We start from the raw sequence: 22,344 nt of genomic DNA, 5'->3' as shown, positions 1-22,344 counted from the left end.
ATAAACTTGAATTTTTGTTTCTTGGTAAGACTTTTTTTAAAAATCATAACATACAGTTATGAAGGCCCTTCTCGGTACCAAGTTCTTGCCCAAGTCCTGGGCATGAAGAGATAAATGGGATGGTACAGTTGTCTCAAGGAAGGATTGCCTTTTATATCATCTTTTTGTAATTTATTTAATAGCTCAAAGATTAGCTGCTGACATGTTCAGTTTAAGGAGGAATCTTCAGCATTCAGGGTATAGCACAGTGGAAGAAGTAATAGGCTCTGGGAATCAGGAGATCTATATTTGAGGCTGGCTTTGGCTAGACTGTGGCCTGTGCTCCCCCTCCCTAGCCATTAACTTCTCTGAACTTTGCCTAACACAGCTGTAAAATGGGGACCATTCCACTACTTTATTCACCTCTAAGGAGGATCAGAGAAGGGGGTATGCAAAACCACAAAGGGCTAATCCAAGATTAAATTCTTCCCCTCCTCCCCTATGTGAGATAAGGCAAACAGATGTCCATCACAAACCAGTTGTTTCTGTCAGAGGGTGGGTTTTCATGATGTGATTCAGTAATCGCGGTTCTTTCAGTCTTGTGGCTCTGCTGTCTTCACACATCTGCTAAGGTCACTGTGGTCTTTTGCATCAAGCTATTGAAGGGGACAAAGCATGGAGGGGTGTGTGAGGAAGGTGGTACATATCTGTTTAAGTTCCGTTAGCTAGAACTCAGTCACTGCTTTGCCTCATGACAAAAGAGGCAGAGGAATATAGTCTAGCCATGGGCTCAGGAAAAAGAGGCAATGGGTATGGTGAACAGTTAGCTTGTCTCTGCCACATTCCCACTTGGGCTGGGTCCACTGTGATTCTCCCAATGTGTCCCATGCCTTCCTGCTTGTCTTTCCTTTGTTCTTTGGCATGAGAAGCTTGATAGATTTATGAATGCATCAGTTACAACTCAGTGTAATCAACTTGAGCTTGTTTAAAAACAAAAACTTGAACAGCTATCTAGTAAATGGATAAAGGGTGCCTGTGGAATTCAGGGGCAAGAATGTGGGAGATACTCAGGAAGTATTTAAATTCAGAATAGAAAAGCTTTAGAGACTTGGAGAATATTTCTTCTGTCTCTCCTGTGCTTCCTGAAGAGACTTGATGGGAGGAATATGTCCACAACAGCAAAGGCTTATTTTCCTCTCATGCTCCATCTCTATTTCAGGCCAGGGAGGGATCAGCTCCATATTATCCTCACACAGGGCCCTGGATTGCCAGAGACTCCACTATCTAGAATGAGAAGAGGAAGGAGGCATGGTGTATATAAAATGGTCTTGTTGTAGGACTTTCTCCTTAGTTCTGTTAAAAGCCGGGTTCTTGTTACACTACCTTGAAAGATTAGGCTCACAGACACTTTGAAGGGTGAGAACGGCAGGGTTTATTAGGTGAAAAGGAAAAAAAAAAAAAAAAAAAAAGAGGAAACAGGGATGCTTGGCAAAGCAAGAGTCCTGCTAGCAGGCTTCCCGCCTCACAGATTGAATCCCATGTACCACCTCGGAACAGGAGAGGCCAGGCTCTTCCCCACTGCAAATAGCGTGAACTTCCCGAGGCTCCACCCCAGTGTATGCTCCACCCCATTGTATACTCTTCCCAGTGCCCAGGCTGGTTGGAGGTTCTCCAGTGACCCCTTTTAACTGGCTGTCTTAGTCTTACAGCTTCCACCTGGAAGTGACATATATTTCATGTCCAAAGCAAATGACACAGCTTTACCTAACTTCAACTGAGCAGGAAAGTACAATGCTAATGTGTCTGGAAGAAGCACCAGAAGTAGATGGTGAGTAGCACAAATGACTATCTTTCTGGTTGCCAGATATCTGATTCACTCTTTTTCCTACACACAAAATACGCTCACTTCTCCACCAAGGGATGTAACAACAAAAATCCCTTCTGGGGCCAGGCGAAGTGGCTCATGCCTGTAATCCCAGTGCTTTGGGAGGTTGAGGTGGGCAGATTGCCTGAGGTCAGCAGTTCGAGACCAGCCTGGCCAACAAGGTGAAACCCTGTCTCTACTAAAAATACAAAAATTAGCTGGGCATGGTTTCAGGTGCCCGTAATCCTAGCTACTGGGGAAGCTGAGGCAGGAGAATTGCTTGAACCCAGGAGGTGGAGGTTGCAGTGAGCTGAGATCGTGCCATTGCACTCCAGCCTGGGCAACACAGTGAGACTCCATCTTGGGGAAAAAAAATCCCTTCTGGTTGTAACATCTCTGTGGCATGCCCTCTTGTCTTATTTTGAATCCAAATGTGGCTCCAATTGATCTGGACACCGTGGGCTTAACAGTTATTTGCCCTCAACACACAATGTATGTACTGGTTTCTGTGGTTTGAATGTGCCCAGTAAAACTCATTGAAATTTAATTGCCATAGTGATGGTATTAAGAGGTAGGACTGTGAAGAGGGCCCATCCTCATGAATGGATTAATGTTATCTTGGGAGAGGGTTTGATATTGCAGGAGTGGGTTTTTGTGAAAGCAAGTCTGGCCCTCTCTTGCTCTCTTTCCTTCTTGCTTTCTTGCACTCTCTTGCCCTTTTGCCTTCCACTTTGGGATGACACAGCATGAAGGCTCTTACCAGATGCGAGCCCCTTGACCTTGGACTTCCCAGCCTCCAGGACTAAGGAAGAAATTTGTTTATAAATTACAAGTCTGTGGCATACCATTATAGCAACACAGAATGAACTAAGACACTGATTGAACAGAAGTGGGATAACCACAGTGAACACTCCCATTTAGAAGATGAAAAGTGAAGCATGGGAAACCACAGTGAGCACTGGTCTGTAATGATTCTGAAATCTCATGTTTTGAGCTTCCATATCTTGAGAATAGAGAATGTTCTTTGATTGGGCCTTGAGCCCATTTCCTGGAGTAGTGCTCTTGTTCATTAGTCTCTGTGGCATCTGGGTTCACCTTCTGAGAGATTTTTTTTATTTTCTGTGATTTTTCTTTGCCATATCTGAAGAGACTGTCAAAGAAATTGCCCTCCCCAGGAGCAGAACAACTTTCTCAACCTTTCCTGCCTCACACTGGGGCCAAAGGATCATTTTAAGTTTCAAAAAGTCAGCCTTTTTCAGTGCAGGTGGTTCTTCAGTAGTACAATTTTCTAAAAAATTTATTCTATTTGATACAGCATCATATGCCAAATAACCACACCACAGTGTGTCTAAGACATTACTCATTCCTGTTGCCTTAATTAATGAAACTTAATATTAACTTGAGCCAATACCATCTCTGGACTGATTTCTGTATTAATTAGAATGGGCTAGCATATGCAACAGTAACAAACAGCCCCACATGTCTCAGCGGCTTAAAATAACAGTTTTTTTCTTGCTCACACTACATGTGCATTTTTGGTCAGTAGAGAACCTTGTTCTGCACTGTGGAGGCCATTGGACCCTCACCATCTAGGATTATACTCATTGCCATGGCAAAGAGAAGTTTGGCAAATTGCATACTGGCTTTAAAAAAAAAAGAATGCCTTTATTGAGGTATAATTTAAATACCATTAAATTTACTCCTTTTAAAAACAGGTCTACATTTAGTAAATGTGTACTTTTGTGCAGCCATCACCATAATCCAGTTTTAGAACGCACCTATCACCTCAAAAAGTTCCCTCTTGTCCCTTTGCTGTCAATCCCTAAACTCAACCTCTTAGGCCCAGGAAAACACTGACCTATTTACAGCTGTAATTTTGCCTTTAATACAAAATTTACTTTGTATTAAAATACAAGATAATGAGTGGTATCTCATTGTGGTTTTTGATATGTATTTTTCTTTTTTCTTTCTTTCTTTCTTTTTTTTTTTTTTGAGATGGAGTCTCGCTCTGTCACCCAGGCTGGAGTGCAGTGGTGTGATCTTGGCTCACTGCAACCTCTGCCTCCCGGGTTCAAGTGATTCTCCTGCCTCAGCCTCCCAAGTAGCTGGGATTACAGGCATGCGCCACCATGCCCAGCTAATTTTTGTATTTTTAGTAGAGATAGGGTTTCATCATGTTGGCCAGGCTGGCATCAAACTCCTGACCTCAGGTGATTCACCCATCTTGGCCTCCCAAAGTGCTGGGATTACAGGCATGAGCCATCACGCCAGCCTGATTTGTATTTTTCTAATGACTAATGATATTGAGCATTTTTCACGTACTTTTTGACCATTTATGTATTTGCTTTGGAGAGAAAAAGCTATTCAAAGCTTTCGCCCATTTTAAAATTTGGTTTTCTTACTACATCTTTATCAGATACGTGATTTGCAAATATTTTGTTCTGTGATTTGTCTTTTCATTTTTTTGATAGTGTCCTTTGACATAAAAGTTTTTAATTTTTGTGAGGTCCAATTTATCTGTTTTGTTTTTGTTTTTGTTTTTGTTTTTTTGGTTGCTTGTGATTTTAGTATCATATCTAAAAGTCCATTGCCTAATCCAAGGTCATACAGATTTATACCTATGTTTTCTTCTAAGAGTTGTATAGTTTAACTCTTAAATTTGGATCTTTGATCCAGTTTGAAGTAATTTGAGTATATGATGTGAGGTAGAGGTTCAACTTCATTCTTTTGCATGTGGATATCCTGTTGTCCCATCACCATTTATTGAAAATCACATTGACTTTTAAAGCTTCCATCCAGAATTTTCACATGGATCACTTCCATCCATATTTCATTGGTCTAAGCAAGTCATGTGGCTATGCCCAGATTCAAGGAGACAGGTAGGTACAATTCTACCCATCTATCCATGGTTCTGAGTTCACATATTAGAATTCTGTGACCCTCTTTCTCAGTACAGGTTACAAGTCCTCATAGGGGGAGTTTTTATTGGCCTAGCTTGGGAGAGGTGTGGTGACCCTCCCTTCAAACAATTGTAACTAAGAGAACAGGGTCATTTGGAACAAACATGGCTGCTGGAAGTTCACCCTATGGACTGGTGAGTGGGATAGTTAAGGGTAAGTGGTCATTATAACCCAGGTAAGTTACCCCCAAAATATCATCTATCATTTGGAATCTAACTCTGGTTTAGGTTACTTGAAAAGTGATCCACAACTATATGTTCCCTGATGACACTTTTGTTTGCAAATGTTGATTGAGTTCCTACTATTTCCTGTCAGACGGCTCCAGGCACTTGGAAAATACTGGTGAATAAACAGATTGTGTCCTTCTTGGAGCTTATATTCTAATGGGATGGGTCAGGCATTACACAATAAATGGGATAAGTAAATTATATAATGCAGGGGTTGGCAATTTAAGGCCCTCAGGCAGACTGCCTATTTTATAAGTAGTGTTCTAGAACACAGCCATGCCCATTCATTTGCATATTATCTACAGCTGCTTTCAAAATACACCAGCAGAGTTGGATAGTTGCAACAGATATCTAAGGCAAACAAACTTAAAATATTTACTATCTGACTTGTTAAAAAAACATTCACTGACCCCTAAATAATCTGTAGAAGGTGATAGGTGCATTTGGAAAGAGAAAAGGTATCCAAGTAAGGGGACCTGGGGATGCTGAGGTGGGGAAGGATGTCAGTTGTAGTTTTAAAAAAGATGGTTACAGCTGGCTTCATCAAGAAGGTCAAGTTAGAGCAAAGACTTGACAGAGGGGAGGGAGCTAAATTGATATCTGGGGGAAGAGCATTTCAGGAAGAAAACAAAAGCCCATACAAAGGCTTTAAGAAAGGGTGTGCCAAATGTGTTCTGAGGACATCAAGGAGACCATGTGGCTGGCCTGAGGCACTGAGGGGACAGTAGCAGGAGACGAGTCACATAGGTGGTTAAGTACTGACGAAAGTCAGATTTTACTCTTCTTGCAAGCTAACAAGGTTAGCCTGCACAGTTTTGTGGATTCTGGCAGAAGACATGAGAATCCTGGGTCAGAGAAAAAAATGCTTTATTACTCATGGCACAACAAGCGTCATGAACACTGGCACATTTGTGTCAATTCCCCTTGCCTGCCAAGTCCCACAAGGGTGATGTGGAGGGGCTCAGGTGGCTGCTGCACCCTCAATGGGTTTGTGTCACAGCAGAGGAGCCTCTCAGGGAACCTGAATCTTTTTTTTTTTTTTTTTTTTTGAGATGGGGTTTTGCTCTTTCTCCCAGGCTGGAATGCAGTGGTGCAATCTGGGCTCACTGCAACCTCTGCCTTCCGGTTTTGAGTGATTTGCCTGCCAAGGCCTCCCGAGTAGCCGGGGTTATAGGTGCCTGCCACCACACCTGGCTAATTTTTGTATTTTTAGTAGACACAGGGTTTCACCATGTTGGCCAGGCTGGTCTCGAACTCCTGACCTTGTGATCCGTCCGCCTCGGCTTCCCAAAGTGCTGGGATTACAGGCATGAGCCATCACGCCTGGCCAAACCTGAATCTTTTATAACAGACTGCAAGCAAACTTTCTTGCCCTTTCCTCGGAAGATAGACATTCTCTTTGCCTCACACTGAACAGTAAGCAAACCTGCCTTCTTCTCTGGGGGGAGACACTATATCTTACAAAGCTGCTCATTCCAAACAGTTTTGAAAAGCTAGTCTGGAACAAAGCCAGTCAGTACCTTTTCTTTGAGGTATGCAGAAAAGCAAGAGACCTATAATATTGTCTCTGAATGGCAGGTTTATAAGTAATCTTCAGAATGTAATGGGGCCATTTAAAAAACTTTGACTTTTACCCTGACTGAAATGAGCAACCATTGCAGTTTTCAGCAAAGGAGTGGCATGGGCTAACAAGTTTTGAAAAGACTGGATATTGAGGGTAGAGTGAGGTGGATGAGGTAGAAGCAGGAGACGAGGCCATCACAGTGACCCAGACCATAGTATGATGTCTGGGGTTTGGGCCTGAATGACCAGAAGGGTGGAGTTGCATCAGCTGAGATGGGCAAAGTGGCAGACTGAGCAGGTTTTGGAGGAATGCTCAGAAGGCATTATGGACATAATGAGTTTAAGATCCTTATTAAGGATCTTATAAGACATCTTGATGTTGAGAGGGCAATTAGATAAATGACACTGGAATTTGGAAAAGAGGCTTGGGTTGAGATAAAAAGTTGTGAGTCTTTGGTATGCAGATGGCATTGAAAGCCATGTGACTGAAGACTTATGAGAAAACCTCAGGAAATGCCTCCAATATTTCATCAGTAATTATGATTTTGGGTGAAATACATGTTCTGTTCACCCTCAAAGCTGAATTAAGCCTGCTAAGATTCAGATTGGATAAAATGTAATATAGATGAAAAATACTAAGCACAAACTTAAAAATGAGGTCTTCTGATAAAACAATTAGGGCCTTTGTCTGGCTTTTTGTAGACTTCCATATAGCTAAAAAAGGCAAAGTGTCATTTGAGCTTTAGAGGAAGGGGAGAGGAAGCCAAGCATAAAATCTCAAATTTTAATTAAGAAAATTTGACAATGTTAAACAAGAAGCAGCTGCGAGGGGGGAGATTTGTGTGCATTTTTAGCCCTGCTTTGAAAGCCTCAGATTGATTGTCTTTGGAGCAGAATGGAGCAAATTGTCACAAATCTTGTTTTCTGAGAAACCAGTTATGTCAACATTACAGCATGCCACAGCCAGCATGCCAAAAATAACACGAAAAGGAACGGCTGCAAATCTATTTAGGATTAAGCCAGTAATTATTGCGTTTGTGATCATTTCCAAGAATTGTTCCTACCCAAATATTAAATGGAAAATAAGAGCTCATTCCAGCCCTGAAAGTTTTCCATCTCATTTTTTTCTTCACTCACTAAAGATTTATGTTAATAAACTATTAATAGTTTTAAACAGAGAACTTCTATGTTGAAATTAAAAGCAAAGTCATTTTAATAATATGTTGGAGGCTTTATATTTTTCTTTATTAAAAGAGAAAAACATTTCTCTTTTTTCTTTTTATTTCTGTGTCTGAAGTTACTTATAACAATAAAACTTCTTAAAACCCAGACTGAAGGCATGTGTTCATTTAAAGTCTTGAGACACCACCTATTTCCTGATCTCCTCTACATTATTAAATAAGCAAATCTTAATTCATCCAAAATTCTAGTTGGCAAACTCTGGGTGACCATGGAGATTAGAGTGGTGATAAGGGAACCGGTGTAGTGATGGAGCTAACCTCTCTTTAATTTGGCTATTAAATGGCTTCTCCGAAAAGAGACGGAATCCCTTATTTCAGGAAAATGGATTTAAAAAAAAATGATTACAGCATAATTATTTTAAAAATACGCTTTAATATTTATCTGGCTGCTTCTTCCCCTGTTCCCATATTCCCCCTACAAGTTAGGTATATCAGCAGATCATGTAAATATTTATAGTACTTGTTAATCTATTAGGAAATGTATATTCTGACATTTTAGCGCCATGGGGGATTCTTTTTTTTTCTCTAATTTTTGTCTGAGATTTATGCATAGCTTTTATCCAGTAGGAAGAAGGACACATTCTTCCCCTACCCTTTCTCGCCCAGGTGAGCTTCCTAAGGCCAAATCACGCAAAGTTTGACCACAAAAGGTGACTTACTGACTAGCTGTCAGAAAGATGAATGCTTCCTTTAAAAATAGCAGCATGGTGTTCCTTGTCAACAAAACTGTGGCTCTTAGAAAGGATGCCATAGGCCTTATGGTTAGGACCGTCTGGGTAGGTTCAGTTCATTTGTAGAACAAAGATTTCTGTTGCAATGCTCTTTTAGCCATCCAGCTTCATTCGTTTTAAGGGCTAGACCTTGTTCTTCAGCCATTTGGCAATCTGTGTATGGAGTACTGGATACAGTGTGGTTTAGTGCAGTGGTTCCCAGCTTTTCACATCTTAAATTCTACAAATCTTTTTTCGGGGAATGGGGAGGACGAGGTGGAGAGGCACCTGTTATTGCTGTCTAAGCAGAAAGTGAGATGGCGTGAGGGTGCGGGGAGGGACGGTATTGCAGATTGGAGCACTACCATGTACCTTTAGGATGCCCTCCTCCTCATCTTCCTAGATGAGCTCTGTGTCCCTAGACTTAGTTTACACAAACACACAAAAAATAGTAAGTGTCCATGATTTTGATTATCAAAATAATCCTTGGCTGGATAATCATTCTTGGGCGATATTGTTGGGGCGAATGAGGGGACTGAGGGAGCACAAAATCTCAATAACTGATGCTAAAACCCTGTGTCCCCCATTTGGTCATGGAGCAACAAGTCAATACCAGGTCAACAGAATCTTCTATACTTAAAATCCATTTTCGTGGCTCTTATACAAGCCACTGGGAAGCCCACACATTCAACATTTGTTCCATTTTTCCTTCCAGATTAACTTTATTTTTCCACATCCCCGATAGTGATTTTTCCATTAACATTTGATGCTCAATTTTCATTTTCCCTAACATTGGTCCCTGGAAGTCTTCCAAAATCTTAGGAAGCATAATAGATTTGATTTCATCTTGTTCCTTTCTCACCTGTTTTTTTTTTTTTTTAATAAAGCTGGTTTCTTTCTTTATTTGAGCAATCTTCTGCTCTCCAAAGGAAGACTCTTTAAAGCTTAGTCCAAAGGAAAAGACTCCTATTCCAAGGCCAGCAAATTTCTTCCTCCACGTGGCCTCTAGCAGCCAGCCAGCCACCAACTGGCCTCTTGTTACAGCCTTTTGTTGACTCTCTTATGGATGCTGCTAACAGTCTCTAGCTTTCCAGCCACTTTCAGCTCTTCTGACAGTAGCCCCTTTTTGGGAAGGACCTGGAGATGAGGCTAAGGCTGCGTTGTTCCCTATCTTTGTTGGATGTGTTGCAATAAAACAACACAGGTAATTCACATTTGAGCTGGAGATTAAACTCAGGTTGGGCTTCCAAGCTGTCACCTGGGACAGTCATTGAGGTTGTGCTTCTTTATCCTGGTTTGTGGCTTGGACGTTTGTTTAGCCTTAAAACAGGATTTCAAATGACCAAAGGAGATTCTGTTGGACTTTTCCTTGGCAAACTCAGGAAGGTATGTCGTGCTTTCAGTCTTCACTGGCTGAGAATGATAGATAGAAGGAAAGCTGGGAACCTCCTAGGCCTTTCATCCCATTCTGAAGTCTCTGGGTTCAGACCTCAGTTCGTGTGTAATGTGGACGATTGATGATTGCAATGGATGTCATTTTTGTTGTTATTCCAAGCAAATGTACACTTTTTTCTTCTCTATGGTATATTTTATTTGTTTTGTTATACCAAATTGTTCAAATAATGTTGAGTATCAATGACCGGGCACCTACTGAAATAGGAAGGGTTTTAAATGGTAGGCAATTATACAAAATTAAAAGGATGAAAATGGCAATTAATGGAAGAAACACAGATACCAAAAATGAAATATTAAGAAAAGAGTAGAAAGTCTGCCAATAGGACATTCCATTCTTTAGTTTGGGGAAAGGCCCTCATGCAACATTTTCTGTGCATTTCCAGTGGGCATAGGTGTCTAAGTTCTAAAACTTCTTTTCTAAGTAGGCCTAATTCAGAGAACCCAGCTTATTAGATATAAGTGCAAGAAAACAAGCTTTATAGCCATTTACCTCCACCCTTTGACTGAGTGGGGAAAGGGAAAAAGGAGGGAATTAAGGTCCCGGCACTCATGCTTCAAGGCCAAGAACTGCATTGTGGAGATCTGTCTGGGGAGGGTGGCTGTCACGCTGCAAACCTCAGAGGTGGGCACTGTCAGCCCCATCTGCTCAGGAGGGATAACAATGCTGCTGGTGGGACTTTGGGCAGATCATATAATAGCGTGGACCAGAGTCTGTTGTTTCCAGATGCCCCAGGGGAAGGCCAGAGAAAGGCTCCTTCTGAGTGAGGCTGACTGGGGGTAGTCAGAGCACTTATGTAGAGTGGCTAGGCTTTATTGGAGCAGACCAATACAAAAAAAGTACTAAAAAAACCAGTTTCACTAATAATTAAATGAAATTCCACTCACTGCACTTTAACCAATAAAATATCTTTGTTTTTTTTTTGTATACTAAACCCTACGTAGACTTGAACCAATTCAGAAGACAGTCTGTTGGCCAAAGGGCAAAATCCACAGCACCAGGTAGCATTTGCTTGAAGTTCCAAGGCACCACGAGAGATTGCTTTCCCCCAAGACTACCAAGGCAGTGTATATATGTGTGTGTGTTCTTGTATGCACACACAGCACACAAAGGACAAGTCTCTTTGCCTTGTGCAGAAATATTCTGATTGTTTCAAGATTGAATGAGCTTTCCCGCTTTCCCACTTTCCCACCTTGTCTTCCACCTGTGTGAAGTTCGTCCATGAGAGGGGTCTGCCCCACTGAAAATCTCCCATTTGGTTTTGGAGCTGCAGGAGCAGCAGGCTCAGGCAAGTGCTTCAATCCACTTTGCCAAGCTTTCTGCTGTACTCCAGACAACTTGGCATGCTGCAGCAGGGGCAAAACACTGACGTCCTCTTTTCCTTTTTTTTTTTTGAGATGGAGTCTTGCTCTTGTTGCCCAGGCTGGAGCAACCTCCGCCTCCTGGGTTCAAGTGATTCTCCTGCCTCAACCTCCCGAGTAGCTGGGATTACAGGTGCCCGCCACCATGCCGAGCTAATTTTTGTATCCCTAGTAAAGACGGAGTTTTGCCATGTTGGCCAGGCTGGTCTCGAACTCCTAACTTCATGATCTGCTCACCATGGCCTCCCAAAGTGCTGGGATTACAGGCGTGAGCCACTGTGCCCAACCCTCTTTTCCTTTTTCAAATGTCAATGGAAAGTTGATTGGAAAGGACAATTTGGCTACCTTTTGGTACCCTGCAGGATTACCTTTATATCAATCATTTGCTGATGCAGGGACTTTCAGAAATTTTGTGGTCTCTTGCAAACAGCCTTGGCAAAACATAGACCTTCAGTATGTGTTGAATGAACCCGTGGATTGCTGGTGTCAGAAGTCCTTTCGTGGACTTGCCTCTGCTGGGGACCTCAGGTTGTGTTGCCTTCTGGGAGGGCCACAGAGAATAGACAGAAAAGAAATCTAAAAGATTCTTATGGGTTTAACACAGGACTCGGCCTTAGCATAGAGAGGGGAAGGTTGCAAGTGGAGGCAGTTGCCTCACCAGGACAGTGGCTGGGCAGAATGGTTTCACAGAGCAAGGTGAATAGACGGAGTGGAAGATGATAGAGATTGCTGAGGACACAAACTCATGCTGCATCTCTCATGGCAGAGTGTTGGTGCTGCTATTTGAATATTAGTCAGTGTTCAACAGAAATCACTCTAGGTACTTTAAGAAGAAAAGAATTTAATACAGGAAATTAGGTGCTTACAAAATCATTAGAAGTGTTGGTCAAGTAGGTTCCAGGTGTGGCATCCATGAATGTTCTTGGGCAGGGGTGCCTGAAGTAATCCACCAGGGCAGACGTATTCAGGCAACCTGAACATCTGGCACAATAGCAGGGGTAGAGGGGGAGGCAATTCCTGCCAGGAAGATAGCAGCTTCCGGCTGGGTGACTAAGAGGCCACGGCAATCCCCTTAAGATTTGTGGGTGGTTTGGTGACTCCTGGCACCTTCCTTGGTATTGGAAATGCCCGTCCCACAACACTTTTTCTGGTAGCAGCTTTGAGGGAGAAGGGTGGGCAGGCTGGTGGGAGGAGGGTATTTGCCTGCTACTTTCTCTCCAGAAGTGTTCATGGCTACAGTCATCATGTGGGCTTTTTTGTAGGCATGTGAAGGTAGATGGGGAATTAGGGTTGCCTTTCTCTGGGACCTCCAGTTCCCTTTGGTGGTGCTGGTGAGTTCAGGACCAGCCTCTAGCACAATAAGTGTGTGGCTTGTGGGGTTAGTGATCCTGATGAGCCACTCACAGGTATTTATGGACTGACTTCTTCTAGCTGTCTCAAGTTCCTGTCTGTCTGTTAGGTCTTGGCACTGACCACAGGTCAGGAAGCCACATGGTCACATTGAGAGGGCAACTTCCTAGCTAGACCAGGGGTAGTTGCCCTCATGCAAGTCCATGTCAGTGCCTGCTTTAAAGTCTCCCATGGCTTTCAATTTGCATAAGGCAAAAGTCTAAGCTCATCATGTGGCCTCTATGTCTCTATTTGATCTGGGCCTGCCTAAGTCCAACTTCAACTTCTTCTACTCTTCCTTGATCACTTTGTCCCAGCCACACTCACCTTCTCCCTATTCCTGCCAACTGGGCTCACCTCATAGCCTTTGCACTCATCCTTTGCTGTGCCTGGAGTTGACTTCCCTCAAGTCTTTGCTTGGTTCACTTCTTCTCATCAGTTGAGTCCAGCTGTCACCCCCTCAGAGGCTAGATTATCTAGTTATTCTTTAACAAAAAATGGGTGAGTCCTGTATGAGGAAAGTCACAAAATTTAGTGGGAGGTATAGTAGAAGACTTGAATAAAAGAAGAGAGACCATATCTGTGGATAGAAAGATAAAATATTGCAAATATATCAGTTTTTCCCAAATCAATTTCCCATCTCCAGTCAAAATACCAGTGGTATGACAAATAGATTCTAAAGCTGAGAGGGAAGAATAAGCAGCAATAAGAGAATTTAAGAAAGGAAAGTTAGGGGTGTCTTGCCCTATGAGCGCATAAAACATACATCTACTAAAACTGGAAAGGTCTTGTATTTGCAAAAGAAGTGACAGGACAGCAGAACAGATGGGAAAGCCCTGAAACAAGGAATTTAATGTATGATAAAGAAAGAATCATCAATCACTGGGAAAGGCATTATTAAACAAAAAGTATTGGAGTTTCACTCCTAGGTAGATACCCAAGAGAGTTAAAGATGTACATCCACACAGAAACTTGTACATGAATGTTTAAATGTCCATCAACTGATACATGGATAATAAAATACAGTGTACTAATACATTGGGATATTAGCCAAAAAAAAAGTCAGGAGGTACTGATTCATGCTGCTACATGGATGAATTTTGAAAACATTATGCTAAGTGAAAGAAGCCAGATATGAAAGACCACATAAATGATTCCATTAACAGGAAATTCCCAGAATAGATGGAAGTAGCTTAGTGGTTGCCAGGAGATGAGGGGACAGTGGAATGGGGAGTGACTCCTAATAGGCACAGAGTTTCTTTTGGGGATGATGAAAAGAATTCTGGAATTTGATAGTGGTGATAGTTGCACAACTTTGTGTGAATCTACTACAAATCATTAAATTGTAACACTTCAAAATTTTATGAGCTGGGCACAGTGGTTCAGGCCTGTAATCTCAGCACACTGGGAGGCCAAGGCAGGTGGATCACTTGAGGTCAGGATTTCAAGACCAGCCTGGCCAATATGATGAAACCCTGTCTCTACTAAAAATATAAAAAGTTAGCCAGGCATGGTGGCATGCACCTGCAATCTTAGGTACTTGGGAGGCCGAGACAGGAGACTCGCTTGAACTCTGGAGATGGAGGTTGCAGTGAGCCAAGATCGTGCCACTGCACTCCAGCCTGGGTGACAGAGTGGACTTCATCTCAAAAAAAAAAAAAAAAATTTATGGTAAATTTTACATTGTGCACATTTATAGCTCAATAAAAAAGTATTGGGCTGGGCTCAGTGGCTCACGCCTGTAATCCTAGCACTTTGGGAGGCCAAGGCAGGCAGATCACGAGGTCAGGAGATCAAGTACTGCCTGGCCAACATGGTGAAACCTCGTCTCTACCAAAAATACGAAAATTAGCTGGGTGTCGTGGCATGCACCTGTAATCCCAGCTACTCAGGAGGCTGAGGCAGGAGAACCGCTTAAACCTGGGAGGTGGAGCTTGCAGTGAACCTAGGTGGTGCCACTGTACTCCAGCCTGATGACAGAGTGAGATTAAGTCTCAAAAAAAAAAGTATTGGAAAAATAGATTATGCAGATAATCATATCAAGTTAGAGACATAAATCCTTACATTAAATGTACATGAATATTGAGCTGCTCTGAGGATTGTGAAGTTTCTTTGTTTTCTTTTTCTTTCTTTTTTTTTTTTTTGAGACAAGGTCTCGCTCTTTCGCCCCGGCTGGAGTGCAATGGCAAGATCTCAGCTCACTGCAACCTCTGCCTCCCAGGCCCAAGTGATCCTCTCACCTCAGCCTCTTGAATAGCTGGGACTACAGGTGTACGCCACCATGCCCAGCTAACTTATTTTGTTGTTGTTTTGTTGTTGTTGTTGTTGTAGAGATGGGGTTTCACCATGTTGCTCAGGTTGGTCTCCAACTCCTGGGTCCAAGTGATCCACCCACATCGGCCTCCCATAGTGTTGGGATTATAGGCGTGAGCCACTGCACCTGGCCAGACTGTGAAGTTTCAATGGATAAAAGTAATAGGTAAAACCTCAAAGGAAAATATTAGCAGATTTTACTACAAAAAAAGAAAACTTTTGTATGCTAAAACATCATAAAATTTAAAAGTAATAATCTAGGATGGTATTTTTCATAAATATGGCAAGAATAATGTTAATAGTTTTTCTGTTTCAAAATCTCAGTAGCGTAAGAAAAATTCTAAAACTCTAGCAGGAAAAAATGGACATAGGCAATTCAAGAAAGAAGAAATATGCATCATCACTAACTTTTTTATTTTTATTTTTTTGAGATGGAGTCTCGCTCCTTCACCCTGGCTGGAGTGCAGCATCATGATCTCGGCTCACTGCAACCTCCGCCTCCTGAGTTCAAGTGATTCTCGTGTCTCAGCCTCCTGAGTAGCTAGAATTACAGGCGCCCACCACCAGGCCCAGCTATTTTTGTATTTTTAGTAGAGATGGGGTTTCACCATGTTGGCCAGGCTGGTCTCGAACTCCTGACCTCAAGTGATTTGCCAGCCTTGGACTCCCAAAGTGCTGGGATTGCAGGCATGAGCCACCGCACCCAGCCCATCATCACTAGCATTTGAAAAGTAAAAGACAAAGTTTAAACTATGAGATACTCTTCTGTCAGACTGTCAGTGCTTCTATTTATAGTCAGGCTGACTTTTTTTTACATCCCCAGCATCGGAGGGAAAATATGAGTCAAAATTTACAACAAAGTTGTGAAACAGGAGATATTCCTATGTAGATGTGTGTGGCTATTTATATTTTTTAAAAAATTTCAAGGTGCATGTTTTTGCCTTTTAGATTTAATTATTAAAATTTAGCTTGATAGAAACTGGTTTTATTTTTTATAACTCCAATGTATTCTTAGTTTTTTACAAAATTTAACGTATGTTAACAAGGGTTCATTGTAAATTAATTTCTCCTTATAATACTTACTTTTTTTTCTAATAAAACCGGCAAGAAACACCTATACAAAATGCTAAAACTGGCAATGCTCTTGATATTGTTAGGGTTTCTATTTTTTGTCCTTCCTATTTGTGTTGATAGTAGAATATCAATAACTAGATATATTTTCATCAGAAACAATCAAGAGGCACTCCAACAAAAGTCTCCATTTCCTACCACTTTCAGGGTCTGTAGAGGGTGACGGAGCGGTGTAGGAATTGGTAATGGATGCCATGCTAAGAAAGATGAACCCTTCTGCTGTTCCCCCCACCTCCTTTCTGTTAGACTCACTTTATTCATGCCCATTGCAACCCAGACAAACGCATCTCAGACCCAGGAAAGTATGAAGATAGTTCTCCACTGACTTAAGAGCGACTCTGGAAAATCCAGTTCCCTTCGTTACATGGAGGACGTTAAACTGCATAAATTTTCGGTTATTTGATTTTGACATTGTTTTATTGTGAACGGCCTGGGTGTTTCGTTCTAACAACAACTATTCTCTGCTACAAACTAAAGTCCAGAATCCAGCCTGACCTGCCGAATTCTCAGAAAGGGGTTCCTGGAAGATGCTGGGAACTTGGTGTGTGTGAACAGCAACACTGAGTTTGGGAAAAGCAAGAGGTAGCCTTTTGTCTCCTCCTGTCCGTGCTGTTTAGTTAAAGCTCAATCAGGATAATAAGTCTCTTCTGTCAGAAAACCGCGCTAATGAGTTGCAATTTCTCAACATCTTTGGGCTGCTTCTGAAAACTAATTACTGGGAACTGGAGAGTGTAAGAGGATACGCACCCTGCGGATATGTAGTTAATACACGCTTGTCTCACAGGCGCTGAGGGGACAGGCTACTTCATTCCCCCAAAGAGGATCCGCTGGCTTTTCCCCTCCCCATCTTTCAAGTTTTTCTTTTTGAACAGCTTTGTTAATTGAGGTTAAGTGGTTTGGTTGTCATAGAAACCAGTATTCCTCACAGGCTGATTGTGTCAACGGCATCATTAATCTGTTTTCTCAACTGCCTCTTCCTCATCCATCTAATTGCAGTCCCCCTCCCTGCCTTTTTAATGACATCATTTTGGACACTTTTAGGACATCATACGTGAGATTCAGCACAATTTATTTTCTATTCAAATTCCATATTACTATGTGAGTTGCCGTCTTCCCACTCCAACGGAGTAAGATCTCCAAAGGTGGGAGAGAAAGTCTCAATTGAGTATGCCTCAGGTGCAATTTAGTATTCCAAATAAAGGAGGCTTTTGAGGTCTTGCCTCTCCTTACCTCCTGAGTTTTCTTTTTAGAAAGAAAACAGACTTTACATTACTGCTTTTGATGTTGTTCTGGGAACTGCGATCTTGGAACAGGTAAAGAACCCGCCATGTTGGGCCTGTTGGAAGAAGGAGGAGGAAGCCACCCTCCTACCGAGGTGCCCTTGAACCTGGTGAGAGAAAGTGGAGGTCAGTAAGTTGTCTGTTCCTCTGAGAAAACACTCCTGGTGCAAAATACTGTGTTCTTTGTGTCCTTTTGCTTTGCTGTCCATTTTCACACAAAACTGCCCGACAAGGAAAACATGGCTTGGCAGTGGCAATTTGTCCCCTGTGGTTCTAATTCATGAGAAGATTCTCAAGTGATTTGTTCTGCCTTTGTCAGTGGGCCAGATTTTTCTTGTACACCTCCATCCTTATGCAAGGTTGCTAAATTCTCTGTCCATTATTATGATGGGCATATGAACATCGGAGACATTTTGGCATGGGCCCAGGCTGGGGTGGGGGTGAGGGTGGGGGTGGGGGTAGGGGTGTAGCACCTGAGGCCAGCTCAGCACATGCCCCATCCATTCTGCCTCCTGTCCTGGTGATGGAAGAATTTTGAGAATTTTTTTACTGGCCTTACCACTTTACCTTACTGGCCATACCACCTTTCTCCTGGGAAAGCCAGATCTCATCCCTGTTTTGCTCCTGTTTTTATGAGGTGGCACTAAAAAAGCTTGGAAGTAATGTTTACTTGAATGTAGTCAAATATTATTTATACATAAATTGTGTATTACGAATTTTTCCTTATTTCTTAACAGTTGGCACAGTTATATTCTTTACATTTTGTTTTGTGATATTTACTTGACTAGGTTCATATAGTTTTCACATCTCTATTCCTTGGGTGAGACTCCTTATTTCTTCCTCTGTTACCTGATATTTTCCATCTGTGTATTACAATATGCATATCATTTACTTACAGTTAATTTGAAAGTATGTGTTTTCAAAACATGAGTTAAGTTATTTAAGTTAATCACATTTCTATCCTGTCCAGCAGCGTCCCCAACATGTATTATTTAGTCAAAGTATTTGTTGGAGAAGTAAGTGTTGACTCAGGACTAAAACAATTTTGACTTTTTGCCAAACCAGTTTACAATAGGAAAAAACACCCATTGGTGTTGACTGTCAACAATGGTAATAGAGTTGATTAGATTTAATGTGTTTACTCTTTAAGAAGCATTTCTAATTCAGACCAAAGGAATGAAGCAATGCATAAGGAAACTACACAAAGCAAGTTGATGGCTAAGATTGTGCTTCTGCAATTTTAAGTTAAACAAATTTAGTGACACGAAATTTGATCTGGGGTGTGAAAGAGGGACTAGAATGACTCCCAGTTTTTTGGCACAGGTTCCTGGAAGAAAGTCAGCGATACGGGGATGAGTGGGTTGGCAGGATGAGTGGGGATGATGAGTAAGCCGAGTTGAACACATCAAGTTTGACTCTAAGCTAGCACCTCTGCAGAACTGAATTGGGCACCTGTGCGGTGCTGAAGAGTAAAAGACAAAGGAGTCCACAGGTTATGTTTTTCCCAGGTGGCCAAGCCTTTAATGCATAAATGTGGAAGCAACATGTCTAATATAGTTTCAATCCAGAAGCCCCCTCTGTCAGGGCTGCTGAGCACTGACAAATAGAGAAAACAGGCAATGAGTACTTAGGAATTAGTGCAGTATGAAAAGCAAAATTCAGATTTGTGAAAAAACTTGATATTTTAATTAGGAGTAGTCAAGTCTGTTTTTATGTCTAGGAAATCACTCAGGTGTCCCCTGGGACTTTTTCTTTTTTCAATTAAAGAGCAATTAAGCCCAAGGAAGGGCAGCAACCAAGTTAGCCCCAGGATCAAGCCCCACTGCCTCACCGTCTGCCTCACTCTCTGCCTCCCTCTCCATTGATTTCCCTATCTTTCCTTCATGCTTCGTGGCCTGTCTTTGCACATTTATTCCATTCTTCTCATGACTGGAAGAAGGCAGCTTCGTGTCTTCATAGATTCTTGCTTCTTCAAAACTTCATCTTGTAGAGGGTCCATTTTTGTTACCCCACTACCTCATGGGATACTGCCACCTTCAATTCTCTAGATAAATAACAATATCTTTGATTCTCCCAATTTCAGAATTCTTAAAAGAGAATGTTTATTGTTCATTTCATTTTTAAAATCATGGTGCAGGGGGTACAAGGTGGGGTTGCCTGGCTCATCACCCATTTATCAGGTGTGTGGATGAGGGACACCACAGAGCAGACATGGAAAACCAACTCAAAACCCCACTCAGAGACATGCAAGACCCTTTGCAATCCAAATAATTCAATATTTTTCTAGCTGCTTCTCCTTTAGAAACAAGGATTCATCTCATAATAGTTCTTTCATCATAATTTTTTCTTTTTATCTTTTCTAAAAATAATTACATAAGCTGGGGATGGTGGCTCACACCTATAATCCCAGCACTTTGGGAGGCCAAGGCAGGAGGATCGCTTGAGCCCAGGAGTTTGAGACCAGCCTGGGCAACATAGTGGGACCCTGTCTCTACCAAAAAATACAAAAATTAGCCAGGCGTGGTGGTGCACACCTGTAGTCCCAGTTACTTGGGAGGCTGAGGCAAGAGAATCGCTTGAACACAGAAAGTCGAGGCTGCAGTGAGCCATGATGGCACCACTGCACTCCAGCCTGGGTGACAGAAGTGAGATCCTGTCTCAAAAAAATGTACATATATAAAATTTAAAATATCGAACACTTCACGAATTTGTGTGTCATCCTTGCACATGCTAATCTCTGTAGTTTTCAAAATTTTAGTCTGTGTGCTCCTGAAACAAGCACCATAATTTTTAATATAGTGAGTAACATAAGCGTTCAAGTGGAGATTGTTAAATGATACCATTTCTGAGGTCCTTTTCCAGAACTCATGTAATTCCTTTATTTTTTCACAAATACTGCTTAAAAGCCAGGCTTGCTTTCCTGCCTTAAGGAGGTGCAGTAGAACTTAGAAGCCACCAGATGTCACTATTGCAGATAGCATTCCAAATTCCCCAGCTTGCATCTGATACCATCAGTGCAGTACGAGTTGACAGGCTCCAAGAAGTCATCTAAACTGTCCCTCCTGACAGGAAGCCACAGTGAACAGGTGACTTGGATGGTTTACTTTTAATGAACTGCTGGAAAAGAGAGCAAGGTTTATAAAAACACACATCTCTGTGGGCTACTTGCAAGACAGTCACCAAAACAACCTTGCCTCTAAAGTCTCTAAGTCTCTGAACATCTGTGAATCTGTGATTCTAAGCCAAATAGAGATGGTCTCTGCCCACCACTCAACATTTGTGTGCTTTTGTTTTTGTTAAGATCAAAGAATTTTAGTAGACAGTATATTATGCATTCAAAATAGCAGAAACCCTAATGGTGAGAAACATTAAGAATACATCAGAGTGATGGCAAAGATTTGCTGTGTGCTTGGATAACTTCCCTTGGCTAACGAGGGTAAGAGGCTGAGGACCCAGAAAAAGGCTGCTCTTCAGGTCACCGGTCCACTACTCCTGCAGGAATACTACCTCCTTGATGGTTGGAATTTGACTCCTCTCTGAGGTTTTTGTGTTAAAGTGGAAGGTGGAGTGTTAATTGTGGTTTTGCATCCTTTCTCACCATGTATTTCTTCTTGTGTTGTCTTTTTATTTTTTACTCTGCCTTCGTCTTCTCTTGTATCCCCTGCCTTCTTTCTTCTTTGCCTTAATTATCTTTTCACCTTTACCCGTAGTTCCAAGTAGCTTTGAAGGCATTTCTTAGTTCCATCAGGAGCAATTGGTGATCTAGAAGTTAGGATTCTGGAACCTGGTTTCTTGCCTCTACTCCTAATGTTCTAGACCACAAACAGAAGAAGAGTCTCACCTACTAAAAATTGATGGCAAGGAGGAAAAGCAGAACCAAAAGCAAACCACTGGAGACATGGGTAGGCAGGAGGGTTCAGTAAACGGTTGCTCCTGAAGACATATCATGAAGAAGCAGTTCCATGCAAAAGTGGACTTGAGAAATGCCACAGCCCATATGCTCTTTGAGGGAGGTTTACAAGGTATGAAGTGCAGTCAGGGTTCTAATACGCGTTCCTGTAAAGAAACTGGTTTACCCTTTCTTAGCCCAGTATCCCCTACTCTGATTTGACCACAGATCCACTTTAATGCCGTTGCTGATTATGCACATGACCTAGTGGCCTGCAGAACTGATGCTCTGTGGAATACTTTGGGGGCTGTTGCTGCTCCAGGAGAGGTTTGTAAATACACTCTCACCAAGGAGGCAAACCTCTTCTAGAACAGGCCTAGGCTTTGGTTTTTGTATTCTGAAATGTCATACTTAAAGCAAACAGAATAATACATAGGTGATATAACTTTTTGGGGGTATAATTTACATTACTAAAAATAAATGCTGAATTACTGAAAAAATTGAAAGGCTTTCTTCTCTTTGGAAAATTTCTCACTGCTTGAAATAGTTATAGCTTTAGATTGTTTCATATTTGTGGAGTGCCCATTGTGTGCCCAGTACTCTCCCAAGGATGCAAAGACAAATAAGACATCATTCTTGATGAAAAGGAAATGTAGATGCAAATCCTACGGTCTTATGCTACTTAATTCTTATACTCTGTTACATCCGATATTTAGTAAGTGAGTGTGTTACCTGTGATATGCTTAGCACTGTTTCTAGAATCAGGTACTACCTTAAGTAAGTAATAGCAGGCAGTGTTAGGTACTTAGTTAAATGCTTTGAGTTGAAGAGAGCATCGTAGATAATTTAGACCCTTCAAACTTCTTTGCCATGTCTCCTAAGAAGACTAAAAACAAACCTCAAGTAGATGGTTTTCAATCTTGTGATCAACGTTCACTGTAGAAAGTGCGGCTTTGTACCCCAGAGCTATGGGAAGCACCCCAC

The 22,344-nt window shown here is 41.8% G+C and overlaps 1 long non-coding RNA gene and 1 pseudogene across 1 annotated transcript; both read right to left on the bottom strand.

Annotated features, from left to right (window-relative positions):
- Nucleotides 1-548: 548 nt before the first annotated feature.
- On the bottom strand, nt 549-16,527 carry LOC124902123 (uncharacterized). Its single transcript, XR_007061423.1, has 3 exons — nt 16,444-16,527; nt 13,105-13,255; nt 549-635 (listed from the first exon to the last, which is right to left on the bottom strand). It is a non-coding gene; the product is annotated as an uncharacterized LOC124902123 (long non-coding RNA).
- On the bottom strand, nt 20,156-20,253 carry RNU6-559P (RNA, U6 small nuclear 559, pseudogene; annotated as a pseudogene).

The sequence above is a fragment of the Homo sapiens genome, chromosome 9 (assembly GCF_000001405.40).
Source record: "Homo sapiens chromosome 9, GRCh38.p14 Primary Assembly".
Lineage (NCBI taxonomy): Eukaryota > Metazoa > Chordata > Mammalia > Primates > Hominidae > Homo > Homo sapiens.
The sequence above is the reverse complement of the archived record's forward strand: the minus strand, read 5'-3'. Positions and strand labels throughout refer to the sequence as shown.